Below are 14,728 nucleotides of genomic sequence, written 5' to 3' on the forward strand. Positions count from 1 at the left end.
CTCCTAACAGGCCACGGACTGGAGCTTAGGGATATATGATATATAGAGAGCTTCCTAGAATGAGATGAGTGATAAGAAATTGACTCACAGACTCATGGAGGCTAAGAAATTCCATGATCTGCCATCGGCAAGCTGGAGACCCAGGAAAGCTGGTGGTATAGTTTGAAGGCCTGAGATCCGGAGGGCTGATGGTGTGGATTCCAGTCTAAATCTGAAGGCCTGAGAACCAGAAGCACTGAGGGCAAGAGGACATGGATGTCCCAGCTCAGTCAGGCAGAGAGAATTCAACCCTTTTCTACCTTTTTGTCCTATTTAAGTTCTCAGTGGATTGGCCTTCGCCCACACACATTGGAGAGGGCCACCTGCTTTACTCAGTCCCCCAATGCCAGTGCAAATCTTGTCCAGGAACACTCTCAAACACCCAGAAATCATGTCTAACTGCCATCCGGGCACCCTGTGGCCCAGTCAAGTTGGCACACAAAGTCAACCATCACATAGCCAAAAGAATGAAAAACAGTCTCAAGAAATATTTGCACATCATGTTCATAGCAGCATTATTCACTATAACCCAAAGATGGAAGCAAGCCAGGTGTCCATTGACAAGATGAACAGATAACCAAGATCTGGTCCATCCATCCAGTGGAATGTCACTCAGCCTCAGAAAGGAAGGAAAATCTGACACATGCGACAAAACGGATGAAACCTGAAGACATCATGCTAAGTGAAGTAAAGCAGTCACAAAAAGACAATTATTGTAGTATTCCACACACATGAGAAACCTACAGAAGTAAAATGCATAGAGATGGCCGGGCGCGGTGGCTCATGCCTGTAATCCTAGCACTTTGGGAGGCCGGGGTGGGCGGATCACTTGAGGTCAGGAGTTCGAGACCAGCCTGACCAACACGGTGAAAACCCGTCTCTACTAAAAATACAAAAATTAGCCAGGCATGGTGGCGGGCACCTGTAATCCCAGCTGCTCGGGAGGCTGAGGCATGAGAATCACTTGAACCCAGGTGGCGGAGGTTGCAGTGAGCAAAGATCTCAGCACTGCACTCCAGCCTGGGTGACAGAGCGAGACCCTGTCTCAAAAAAAAAAAAAAAAAAAATGCATAGAGACAGAAAGTGGAATGGTGGGTGCCGGGGGCTGGGGCTGGGGCACAAAGAATTATTGTTTAATGGGGACAGAGTTTCCGTTTGAGACGATGAAAAGATTATGGAGATGGATGGTGGCGATGGTTGCACAATCACGCGAATTTTATTAATGCCACTGACCTGTACACTTAAAAATGGCTACGATGGTAAGTTTTATGTTATGTGTATTTTGCCACAATTTTTAAAAGTTTCCAGGTGATTTTGACGTGGTACATGGAGGCACAGTCCATAGACTGTCATAGTCCTGGCTACTGAGGTGTTGGAAGGTGATCCTGCTTTTCTGCTTCCTGAGGGAGGTGCTTGTTCAGTTCTTCTTGAAGCCTGTGAATTCTTCCAACACCTTCAGTGGCTCCACCCCAGCCGTTACATTCTTTTTCTTTATTTCCCCTCCCCTCCCCTTCTCTCCCTTCTCCCCTCCTACCTCTTTCCTTTTCCTTTTTCTCCCTTCTGCTCAAACTAGCTTAGTTCTATTTCTGTGACTTGTGGCCAAAGCCCCTTCACTGTTGCTCTCACCTCCTGGGTAGGCAGCTCCCTGGGAGTGTGGGCTGGGAGTTAGTCTTCCCCCCTGCCTGGCGCACAGGCCGTGGGCCCGGAGGGACAGCTCGGGGAGTGTGTGTTGACCACATCTGGCCTTCCTCTGGCGTGACTCAGCCTGGAGTCAGCACGTTATCTGTTCAGGGAAATGTGCCTTTGATTCTGTTCCTCGGTGCTTATAATTTCATTATTATTTCCGCAATGACATCCCATTGGTCCTCAGTTCCTCAGTTGGTCCTCAATTCATTCTGACTCATTTCACTTGAGTCATGGCTTAATTAAGTTGTTCTGTAGCACACAACGGCCAGGGGACTTTCCTTCTTTCCATGAGTGACTATTTTTCTCTAGGTTGGGATCGTTCTCTTTTCCATTCATTACTTCTTTTCTCTTGTATAGCATATTTGCCTAGTTGTGCTTTTATTGTTTTCATATTGTTTATGCCTGCACCATTCTGACAGGTAACTTCTTGATCTCTTCCCAACAATTTGTGACCAGGCTATTTTGGGCCCGAGCTTAGGTGAGGAGCTGAGATATCTTATGTTGTCTCTACTTTTCTGCAGCCCGAAGGAACGTCTCTGGGTGGAGAATGAGGAAGTCTCTCTTCCCTGAGATTTCATCAGAAGTCCTGCTTTAGGGTACCCTTCTCCAGGGTTGAGAGTATGGGTACTGCTCAGTAGGAGATTCCCCTGGGATCTTGACTGCTCCTGTAATTCAGAGTATTGTCTTAGAGACTTTGCTTCCATCAGATGGATTCTGCCGATGCTTCAGGTTCCCTGGTTCACCCGCTTCTCTGAGCATCAGTCTCCGTTGTTTTGTTGTGAGACAGAAGAAGGAGAAGGAGGAGGAAGAGAAGGATGAGGAGGAAAGGAGGAGGAAGAGGAGCAGAAGGAGGAAGGGGAGGGGCAGAACAACCATCACCATGGCCATCCCCCGCCAGAGCACCCACCCCACTTGCTTTCTTCTCCTCTTGGTGTCTGTGAGAAAGCCCAGGATTTTGTCACCTCCCAGCCCAGTCTCTGGGACGAGGAGCCTCGGTGGCATGGGTACTCCAGGATCTTCTGAGTCTTTCTTTGATCTTCATTTGGTGTGGTTTACGGCTTTAGGATAAAACCCTTCCCTTTTTTTGGTTGCTGGGGGTGATGGGGGGTGAAATGGCGGTGGGGAGGTTTTTTGCAGCCTTTTACTAGAGTTTCTCACGTGGTTGGTGTTTGCGGCCAAGAACTTCCACAGGGACAGTTCAGTCGGCTGCCTCACTGGGGACTTCCATCCTGGCAGTGCCTGGGCTCCTCAGGAAGACAGTGGTCAGTTGAGTCCTTGCCAAGCCAGGCTGGCTTCGAGGAGGAGTGATTGAGGCGATTGTTTTCAGTGGCTTTGCGACAAGGTAAGCAGCCTGTTCTCAAAAGGGAGGGTGTGCTGAGGCTGCTGAGGCTGCTGGGAGTACTTAAGAGTTTGTGTGTGCATCTGTGCATATGGGTGTATGCACGTGTGTGCATTGTGTGTGCATGTGTGTCTGCACATGTGTGCATTGTGTGTGCATGTGTGCCTTGTGTGTTCATGTGTGTATGCACTGTGCATGTGTGTGTGCACGCTTGTGTGCATGCACGTGCATGACTGTGTGCATTGTGCATGTGTATTCGTGTGCGTGCATGCATGTGTGGGTGCGTGTGCTTGTGTGCTAGAAAGGTTGTCAGAGTGCACTACTGAGCACTTTCAAGCAGGTTCTTGGAGGGCAGCACCAGCCAGTTCTCGGCTGCCCTGTTTCCTCCTTCTATTGCCCCTGCTCCCAGCACAGCTCAGGAACGGGGGCTCTCTGGAGCAGCTTACTCACCTGCTGGGTGGTCTTCCTGCTCTGATATGTTTACCTTGCTTTTCTCCCTTCCATCCCCTCCTTTTCTCCCTCTTCTTCCCCAAACATCAGACTGACGGGCAGAGATCCATAATAATAAACTCTCAGGAATATGGCCTGGTCCCGATGTTGGCAGCTGGCTGACTTCCCCGGACTCTGGCTTTACATGGGTTGGGGAAGGGCGAGCCCCTGGAAATGCAGAGATGGTGGCCACTGAAGTGAAGGCCCCCTGGGTCATCCCTGGACCTCCTCCAGGCATTTGTAAAGACTCCAGACCACTGTGGCTTTCAGGGCCCTTGTTACTTCCTTAGACTTCAGTGTTAAAATCTTTCACTTCCAAGAAGCTGAGTAAGCCCTGACTTGACTTATTTAGTTGGCTAATCTATGTTAAAGCCACCAGAAATGATTTATCGATTTGTTTAAAAGAGAAATCCCAGAAGGAAGATAACTTTCACATTTTTTTCGGCAGATCCCACATTCAGCCTGATAATGCAGACTCTTTCAAGGTAAGATTTGAAAATAAGAATTTAATACTAGAGCCAAACCTTCATTAAGTTTGAGGAATAAAAGCTACTTCATGTAAGTTTCAGTGAGACTAGCACCTTTGTGCCTGCACCCCCATCTGCATCTTGGAGGCCGGGCAGGTCCCAGCCCAGGACTGGGGACAGAGACCCAGAGTAGAAACCCACAGAGACCCTCAGGTCTGGGAGCATAAGGCTGGCCGGCTCCCAGTGACAAGTGTGCTCCGTCATGGCTGTTCATTAAGCACCATGGAAGCCGGGGGAGGGAGAGTGAGCTCAACCTGGGGACTGGGGGCAGCTTCTGCAGGGAGTGACGCTTGACCCAGTCCTGAAATGCACATGGGTACTGGAGTTGTGTTAGTCAGGGTTCTCAGAGAGACAACCAATGGAATATGTGTAAGTATACATAGATAAGTACATATGTGTATGCCACATATACATAGACACATACGCATACACACACACACACACACGCTCCATTCCAGCCCGGCTCTCTCTCTTTATATGTATTTATGTTAAGCAATTGGCTCATTTGATTGTGGAGACTGGCCCGTTTGAACTCTGCAGAGCAGGCGGGCAGGCTGGAGATGCGGGAAAAGCTGATGCTGTGGCCCTGAGTCTGAAGGCAGGGTGCTGGCCAAACTCGCCCTTCCTCAGATGTCAGCCTTGGTCCTGTGCAGGCCTGCACCTGCTTGGTTGAGGCCACATCAAGAGTGTCATCAGCTTTACTCAAAGTCCACTGATTTTAATGTTGATCTCATCCAAAAAACACCATCACAGAAACATCTAGGATGGTGTTTGACCAAACTGGGCATCAGAGGCCACGGCTAAGTTGACACATAAAACTAACTGCCCTGAATGGTAACTGGGAGAGTTTTTGGGACGGGGGTCCGGGCCACATGAGTGTGTTTGTGGGTGAAGGGGCAGAGTCCAGGGAGGGAGCAGAGAAGCGAGAGTCAGGAGGCCTGATTCCAGCCCTGGCTCTGACCCTGGTGGAGGAGAGGGAAGCCAAGGCAGGTCTACAGAGGCCACGGAGAGGGCCATGGCAGTGGCGTTGGTGATGCCCCAAGAGGAAGGGCAGGCAGGGCTGCCGGATGGTGGGGTGCTCAAGGAGGGGCTCCTGGAGGCTGGGGCGCCAGGCATCGTGGGAGGGCTGGGTGGCATGTGGATGGGCTTGGGAGTGGGTGGGAGTCTAGGGTTCCATGGGGAAGGGATGACAGAGCCGCTCCCTCATCTTCTGGGTGCCCTGGCACCGTTCTCTCTCTCCTAGTGCCTGTCCATGCCCTGCCCCACTGCAGTTATTTCTGAGAGTACAGGAGCCCCTCCCCTGGCAGCTGGACTAGAGCAGATCGAGTTCCAGTCTCAGCAAGCCAGCAGGTGTCTGGCACACAAAAGGGGCTTGGGGGCTATTTGCCAATGAATGAGCAATTAAGTAACTAGGTCAATGGATCACTGGGTCTACTGACTCCCTGGTTCGGGACCCTTTCCATGGGTCGGACTCCGATGGGCCTGGTGTGACTGTGCACTGAGCACTGGAATGGGAAGCCTTTGTGAGCCTGACTGCTGGTGCCCTGGTGATGTTCCTGCCTAGTAGATGACATCGAGTATTTAATAATCTGTCCCTGTTTTGTTTTTCAATGGCGATAAGGCTGCAGTGAACACCCTTGAATATTAATCTTGATGCACTTCTCTGATTATGTTCTTAAAATAGAATCCCAGACACATGTAAACAGGATTAAATGTTTTCCTAAGGGATCAAGTTAGGATTTTGGCAGTGTTTGGTAGTGTTGTGGCTAAGAACCGAGGCATGCCTACAGTTCTGCCTGGTCCATCACTCCTCCATTCTGCGGAGATAACTCAGGAGCTCCAGCCAAACAGGAAATGTCTTAAAATAGCTGGCCAGTGCCTGATGTACCAGTGCTAGAGCTCAGGCAGAGCTCTCTGTCCCTCTTCAGTCACTGTTTGGATCTTAGGGTCTTACCACCCACGGTCTGGCTGCTGGATAGATGAACTAGAGGCAGTGGCCTGCATGCTGCAGGCATGTGTTGGGTGTGGACTTGTTGGTTATAAACTGGGCTAAAGAGGTGACTTCTTAGACACAGCCACTCTAGGGCACGGAGGAAGAGGGGATGGGAGATAAAGAAGATGGCCAGCCTGACCCTGGGGCCAGCGTGGGCTCTGCTTTCTTTTCTATGCCTGGAGAAGAAGAAGGAGAGGCAGAGCCAGCATAGGTAAATGTTTTTTAGAAGCAGTGACTTTCCCCACTAGTAATTCCACATGAATCAGTTTGCTTTTTCAGGGTTGCAAACTACCCCAGAACTCGGTGGCTTAAAACAACACCCAGATGTTTAGTTCATGACAGGAAGGGCCAGCAATTTGTGCTGGGCTCAGCTGGGAGGTTCTTCTGGCCTTGATGGGACTCCCTCATGTATTTGTGGCTGGCCTTAGGTCAGCTAGGCAGCTCTGCTTCTGGAGGTTGGCTGGCTGTCAGCAGGAGCAGGCAGTGACTCCTCATGCAACAGGCTGGCCTGGCTTTGTTTGTCTGATGCTGGGCAGGTTTCCAGGAGAACACATGATCTTTTGAGGCCTAGGCTCAGGCAGGCACACGTTCATGCCATTTCTACCACATTCTGTTTGGTCAAAGCAAATCATAAGTCCAGCCCAGATTTAAGGGGTGGGGAAGTAGACTCCACTTCCTGTTGAGAGGAGCTGCAGCTGCCAAGTGACATTGCAAAGGAGCAGGGATACAGGAAGGGGAATAATTGTGGCTCTTTTTGTAGATGGTCTACCATATGGCCTAATATATGGCTTTGAATCTGAGCAGTCAGACTAGCAACTTGTTCTTCTCTGTGAGATGAAAGATATTAAAAAGGGCAGCCCATGCAAGAGACTGGCGGGCACTGTTTCTACCCCTTCCTATAAAATATTCTGGACATTTTTTCTATGAGGAAAGGGGGAACTGTCCTGAAGTCTTTCTGTGCTTGCCTGCTAGTCCTCTCCATGGCACTATCTTTCCACAGGCCCTGCAGAGAAGCTCCTTTCCTCATCAGCACCAATTCTAAAATAAATCAGAGTCACTTAGAAGCCAAGCTGGAAGCACATTCAACCTGCTGGGACCCACCACCCGGGAGCGAGGCTCTTAAATCAATTTGGAAATTGTTTCCATGTAATATGAATGGACTTGGTAAGGGAATAGAAATCCCTGCCAAATCCCTACCTTGAATAGGATGAAAAATTAGATTAATCTGAAAAAAGCAGTCAGCAGGCAGTTACTTACCCTGTTTTAGAGATCTGGGAGGACTGGGAAAATTGCGGCATGGTGTAGCAGAAAGAGCAGGTCTTTAGAGTTAAACAGACTGGGCTTTGCGTCCTGGGTCTGCCACTTAACAGTTGTGAACTTTAAGTGCCTCATCCTGCCTGAACCTCTGTTTCCTTAATTCCGGGGTAGGGATGACAACGCCTGCCTTGCTGGACTGCTGGGAGCATTAGTGACAGCAGATGTGAAGCATCTCACGCAGAGTGGGGATGGATAAACAGCGGCTACAGGCACCTACCTCCTGGAAAAGGGCTGCTGTCATATTTGAGGCACTCTCAGGCCCCTGGGCCAGCTTTTCCAGGGACAAGGGGCATTCCCATGGGTGTTGCACATCGACCTTTGGTCTCATGTAAAACTCATCTTATTCATAGATACAGAGTGTACAGATATTTGGGTGACCTGCTTTATTTTACTTAATGCCGTAGGTATTTTCCACATTGCCAGAGCCTGCATAATTAAAATGTGTGATCGTTGTGAACAGTAAGATGTACATGTCAGGCCATTTTTTTGATATTTAGGTTGTTTCTGGTTGTTTATTGGTAGAGACAATGTTACAGTGGGGCAATGGAGCCCCCCCTCCTCCAGTATTTTAGGTTATGATTATTTTTTATCCTATTTCCAGAAGTGGGATGAAGATCCCCCCAGTTCTTGACTTATTTGTCCACATTGCTCTTCAGATGTCTGTACCATTAATACTGTCACCAACAACATATGACTGCATCGATTGTTATCAAACTCTTGCCAGAATTAAGAATCACTTCTCAATATTTTTAAAGGGGATATAAAATGTGGCTACATTATTCTTTTTTAGAAAGTGTGGTTCCTCTGTGATGTGTCAGAGTGGTCGGTGGACTGTACTTCCCAGGATTCCCTCTGTGTGTTTCTGCCTCTTGTGGCCACGGGAGGGGTTCCTGTGTGGGCCTCAGAGGGCAGAAGTGAAGCCACAGCCCTCGGCCACACACGTGTGTTGTCCTCAGTTCCTGGCCTGTCTCAGGGGCGTGAGGCAGGGCCGGGCCTCAAATTGCAACTTGTTCCCCTGGATCCTCCTACTTCTAGGTAGGGAGTGTGCATTTAAGTCCATGAGGAGGAGCTGGCTTCGAGGACACACAACACCTCAAGGCCAGATGGACAGGGGTTTGTCCATCCTCGTGGGCTCCGTTCATCCTGGGGCTCCAGCCTGTTCTTGCTTTCCCACCTGGCAGCCATCTTCCTGGCCCCACGGACAGCCCTGTGGACTTTAAGCTCCAGTGCCAGATGGAAAGACAACAGCCTTGGGAGACTGCTTAACAAGCTCCCCAAAGTGAGTGAGGTTAAACCCCTGTAACACATTTATCTCCACCTTCATCTCCACCTTCATCTCCATTATCTCCACCTCCATCATCTCCATCTCCATCACTTTCACCACCTGCGTTATCTCCATCATCTTCATCATCTCTATCTCCGTCACCTTAATCATCATCTTTTTTTATCTCCATCTCTATCACCTCCATCATCTTCATCATCTCCATCATTTCCATCACCATCTCCATTATCTTCATCACCTCCATTTCTATTGCCTCCATCACTTCCACCTTCATTACCTCTGCCATTTCCTCCATCATCATCATCTCTATCACCTCCGTCACCATCTCCATCATCTCCTTCTTTATCTCCATCACTATCACCTTCATCACCTCAATCATCTTCATCACCTCCATTTCTATCACCTCCATCCCTCTATCCTCATCTTCATCTCCATCTCCATTATCTTCATCACCATCTCTATCACCTCCATCATGTCCATCACAATCTCTAGCACCTCCATCTCTGTATTTATTTATACCGGTTGTTTCTACTCTGATTGAACCTTCACTGATATGAGTATCACTTATTTGTGATTAGCTAATACATAGAAAACCAAATAATGCATACAGAGAAGGGAGGCCGTCCTGACCAGCCCTGACCCGTTTTCCTCCTCAGAAGCAACTCTACTTGCAGTTTCTTATGGATCTTGGAAAGTGAACCCTGCACAAACAAGCTTATTTATACATGGTTAATTTTAGCTTTTACACAAGTAAATGCTTTTCCTAAGAATGGTAACATGTACATACTGTTTTGCTTTATTCACTTGACAATATATCTTAGAAATGGGACCATAGCTGACATACAGAACTGCCTCATTGTTTTCAGTGCATGCCTAGCATTCCATTATATGCATGCATCGTAACTGACTTTGCCAGTCCTATATTAATGGACATTTATGGTATTTCCAATCTTTTAATATGGCAAACAGTGCTATGAATATTCTGGTGCACATGTCATTTTGCACATGTGCTAAATACCTGTCAGATAAATTCCTATTCCTGGCTGTGTAATTCCTGGGTACAAGGGTAAATCTGATGGATGTCATTACGTACATGGATCGTACCTAGTAGCCCACTTTTCTAGATGATCTGTTACGATCTTCTCTTCATTATTCCTTCTCCCTTTGCTGTGTCCTTCTGTATTGCAGGGGTCAGAGCCTGGAAACAATGTTCCTTCAATCCTTTGCCAGCAGGGATCTTCTTTAGTTTCTGCCAATAAGGGCCACTGGTGTAAAATTTGGAAACCAGACAAAGAGAAGCTGACTTTTGGCAATGGCGTGAGACATGGGCATCAATAAAGGCTGGGTGAGCTCTGCCAGTGGCTTTCAGGCGTGAGTCATCTGTTCACACAGTTGAGATCTGCAGTGGCTGTCCCTGCAGTCTCCACTTCCTGGATTCCTGAATGCTTCCGAAGCTTCCCTGACCTTGACTCTCTCCCCAACAGCTTCGTAAGCCTGTAATCTCCTGCATTAATCTCCTCTCCATTGAAGGACCTGGAGGGTTTCCATTTTCCCAGGCAAACCCTGTCTGAGACGTATCCCCACTAGCACTGCATAAGAGCTCCCAGGGCCCCACCTCCTCACCACACAGTGCTTGTCAACCCTTCGGTCAGTTGCGGAAGTGAACAATAGTATCTCGTTGTAGTTTTAGTTTCAGAATTGTGCGTGTAGAATTGATGTTTTGTTTGTATGTTTAACAGCCATTTGTATTTTCTTTTTTATAAACCAGGTTCGTATCCTTTGATTATTTTTCTGTTGTGTTATTGATGGGTGTTGTCACCTACATGGATCATACCTGTTAGCACACTTAAAAATTTTTTTAAAAAATATCTTTTTAAAAAATTAATAAGAAATAGCACTGTATGACATAAATGGCAAAACTTTTCTCTGGTTTTCAGTTTGTCTTTTGACTTACTTTATATGTACTTCTTGACATGAAGATTAAAACATTTTCATGTAATCCAACGTTTTTTCTTTTATGGATTTCTTTTTTTTTTGGAGACAGAGTCTCACCCTGTGGCCCAGGCTGGAGTGCAGTGGTATGATCTCGGCTCACTGCAACCTCTACTTCCCAGGTTCAAGCGATTCTCATGTCTCAGCCTCTGGGTAGCTGGGATTACAGGCATGTGCCACCATGCCCCGCTAATTTTTGTATTTTTAGTAGAGATGGGGTTTCGCTATGTTGCCCAGGCAGGTCTCGAACTCCTGACCTCAAGTGATCTGCCTACCTCAGCCTCCCAAAGTGTTGGGATTGCAGGCGTGAGCCACTGCGCCCAGCCTGTTTTATGGATTCTGTGTTTTGAGCTGTACTTACCTTGGTGGGGCAGTTACCACTCGCAATTATTCCACGGGCTTCCCTCTGCTTCCCAGGCTCCCTTGGCAACCTGTGAGTCTTTAAATTCTATTTTTAGGCTTCTGTGTTCTTCTCATTTTTCTACCTTGATCCATCATGGCCTGAGAAAGATGAATTAAAATTTCCTACTCTAAAGTATCCCTGCTGCTTCTTGTATTTTCTGAACTTGAGCACTATCGAAGTTGATGTTACATTATGTTGTGCTACTATCTATAATTGCTAGATTTTGTGGATTGCACCCTTTATCATTCTAAAGTGACTTTTTGTTCTATAGAATGCCTTTTGTCCCAAAATACAGCCTGTCTGATATTGATTGTTGGCCCTGCATTTTAAAAATGCATTTGCCTTTCGTGCTTTTATCTTTAACCTCTCTGAGTCGCTTTGTTTTTGATATACCTCTGGGATACAGTTCACAATTGGCCTCTGCCTCCTGAATAAGTTTAACTCCTTAGTGAAGTACAGATATGTTTGAAGTTAGTCCTGTTATTACTACACTACTTGCTACTTTTTTTTTTTTTTTTTTTTTTGAGATAGAGTCTCGCTGTGTCACCCAGGCTGGAGTGCAGTGGCACCATCTTGGGTCACTGCAACCTCCGCCTTCCTGGTTCAAGCACTTTTCCTGCCTCAGATTCCTGAGTAGCTGGGATTACAGGCATGCACCACCATGCCCAGCTAATTTTTGTATTTTTAGTAGACATGGGGTTTCACCATGTTGGCCAGGCTGGTCTTGAACTCCTGACCTCAGGTGATCCGCCCGCTTCGGCCTCCCAAACTGTTGGGATTACAAGCGTGAGCCACCACGCCTGGCCTATACTTTCTACTTTTAATTGTCCTTCAAGAACATCTTTCACTATAGATTCTGTGTATCCTTTACTTTGTTTCATCCGTTTGTTTATTTTTGTCATTTGGCAGGACTGGAAGTTTGCTTTAGTGCCCGTCTTCTAACTCTAACTTTATACACCCTACTCAATCCTCTACTGACTCCACACATTGAACAATGGCAGCGCAAGTCTATCTCAACTTCCTCAGACTGGCTTCCTTGCTCCTCAGCTTGCAGATGGCCTATTGTGGGACTTCATCTTGTGATCGTGTGAGTCAATATTGCTTAATAAACTCCCTTTCATATATACATCTATCCTGTTAGTCCTGTCCTTCTAGAGAACGCTGACCAATACACTGCGTTTCATTGGTGCTTGTATCTGTCTCCGTCCTGCTTTCAGTTGGGTTTACCTTTCGGATATGATTTTCTGGTTTCCTCATATTTTTTCCTGAGCTTTGTCACTTTTTGTTCTACCTCCATTTTCACTCAATGCTTTTTTCTCCACTTTGAGTTCTAAATTTTTCTAATCGTGATGAAATGTTTGGTGTGTGACACTGGCTGTGTTTGCGGTTGTGTTATTTTAGTTTTCCTTCTTCCTGCTCACGCTAGGTCGTCACTGAATTCACAATGCAGCCTCTCTCCTCTGTGTGACCCCTTATAAAACTGCTTCCTGCAAATATGGCTCCTCTGTAGCTCCTGGTTCAGCCCCACCTTTCCTCTCTGGACGCTGCAGACTCGGTCCATGGTTGCTTTTGTCGCACATCTGTGTACCATTTCTCTGGTCTTAATCAGAGATTGTCAGTTTTCATTCTGGTTTTGTCTCTTTCCCCTTGACGTCTGCACCACGGGCATGGTCCCGTGGCCCCTTTCACACCTTTTTCTGGCTTTTATTTTGTATGGTAGCCATTCCTCATACATTGATGTTCAGGGCTATGGATACCTTTCTTGTTATTTTCTTTTCTGCTTTTAGTTAATGTCGAATAGGAGGAGGGAGAAATCACTGCCTTTCTCTTGCCATGTAAAAACTGCTCTAATTGTTTTAATTGGCATTTCTTTATTAGTGAAGCTGAATATTGAAAATATATCCTAAATAAGGAATTTATAATCCAATATAATGCACAGTGTAGCTGGATAGAGATTGACCTTGTTTATGCCCATTATGCAAGTCCTGAAATTATGACCCTGCCTGCTTAGGGAAACAGAATTCTAGTGGGTCTACTCAGACCATGTGATTACTTATAACAAGAAATAGCGTTCATTTAATGGGGAATTTATAAAGTCAACAACACTGGGCTTTGTAACAGTGACTAAGCCACACTTGAATGAATTAAATACAATGTTCTAGCAGTAACTTAACATAATTGTGTATATAAATATACACACACACATATATAATTGTGCATATATACACACATAGATAATTCTGTATTTATATGCACACAATTTGTGTATATTTACATAATTACATACACAAATAGCAAAACAGGACAAAGATGCAGAATTGTGCCTAGAACCTCCTAATTCCTAGGTGTGAAGAAACAAGCGATACCTTGAATGTTGTCGAGGTTGTCACATATATATGTGAGACATAAACAAGGCCACAAACAAGGTCAGTATCCAGCCACACAGTGCATTATCCTGGATTTATTATAGATTCCTTATTTAGGATACTTTTCAATATTCAACTTCACTAATAAAGGAATACAAATAGAAACAATCAGAGCAGTTTTTACATGGCAAGAGAAAGACAATGATTTCTCACATCTATACATGTGGCAGCCTCAACAACATTCAAGGTATTTCCTCTGTTCCTTCTCATCTAGGAATTATGAGGCTACAGGCACAAGTCTGCATCTTTGTCCTGTTTTGCTGTTTCCCTGACCCCACCTTGACTCTGAGTCACAGCTTCCCTCCACTGCAGGCTCTGCCAACCTCTGGCACTGCTCTTCTGAGCCCATGCGTGCTTCTCAGATCTCTGCTGCAGCTGTGGGGAGGGCTTTTAATCTGCCCTAGCTTTGTCTTGGCAGGTGAATCCTAGTGTCCCGCCTTTACATTTCCTGACAAGCCTCAGCGTGGATGCTGCCTCCTGATGGCATTCATGTGTCTCATGGTCTTCACTGCCCCGGGTTGCAGCCATGGGGTTGGTCACTTACCCACCTTGTCTTGAGATGTGAGCCTCACTAGTCATCGGCTGCTACATCACCTAACTGCCTCTTGGTTTCCAACACCTGCCCTAAGTATAATTAGGCAAAGCTAAGTAGTTCCATGCTTTCCTCCCACCCCAAATGCAAGTGTCAAAAATCATCTTCCATAGAAGTCCAGACAGCATGATGCAGACACTATTTTGCAGGATGCTTTCAGGATTTGGAGCCCACCTGTGCTCAGAGCAGAATTCAAGAGCTGGCTGTGCTGGAGGCTGAGATGTAGGACTGAGAGTCACAGGCCCAGTGGACAAGGGGTACCTGCTCTTGGGGAGAGCTCCATCCAGCAAGGGAGGCTGATATCAGAAAGATGATAAAGAGGCTCCTAGTTACATGACACTGTGCAGCCTTGCGGGCATCTACGGACCCGGGATCTATCCCAGGTGATGCGAGAAGCCACCCGGAGTTTTGAGAGGAGGCAAGATTATGGGGCGGTCGCTGTTGCTGGTGACACAGTTGGGCTTCTGGAGAAGGAACTGGAGGGAGCAGGCAGGAGGGAGCTGGTTTTCAGCAGTGTTTGCAGAAACGGAAACCTGAGTCAGGGAGACTCCACTGGAGAAGTGGAGGGGTTGGGGGTGGCAGTGCTGAGGACCCAAGTTGGCAGATCTCACCCTTGGCTGAAGGGGGAGGGAATCAGGTGTAA

The 14,728-nt window shown here is 46.9% G+C and overlaps 2 annotated features.

Moving 5' to 3' along the window:
• Positions 1,401–2,600: an enhancer, noted in NCBI's record as "P300/CBP strongly-dependent group 1 enhancer chr22:47724406-47725605 (GRCh37/hg19 assembly coordinates)". NCBI's record gives its function as "activates an origin of replication core promoter dependent on BRD2, BRD4, P300/CBP, MED14 and CDK7 cofactors, with strong dependence on P300/CBP, by STARR-seq in HCT116 cells {active_cell/tissue: HCT116}" and the evidence as "EXISTENCE:reporter gene assay evidence [ECO:0000049][PMID:35650434]".
• Positions 10,051–10,240: an enhancer, noted in NCBI's record as "active region_19269". NCBI's record gives its function as "activates an Ori minimal core promoter by ATAC-STARR-seq in GM12878 lymphoblastoid cells {active_cell/tissue: GM12878}" and the evidence as "EXISTENCE:reporter gene assay evidence [ECO:0000049][PMID:35858748]".

This window comes from Homo sapiens, chromosome 22, assembly GCF_000001405.40.
Source record: "Homo sapiens chromosome 22, GRCh38.p14 Primary Assembly".
NCBI classification, from domain to species: Eukaryota; Metazoa; Chordata; class Mammalia; order Primates; family Hominidae; genus Homo; species Homo sapiens.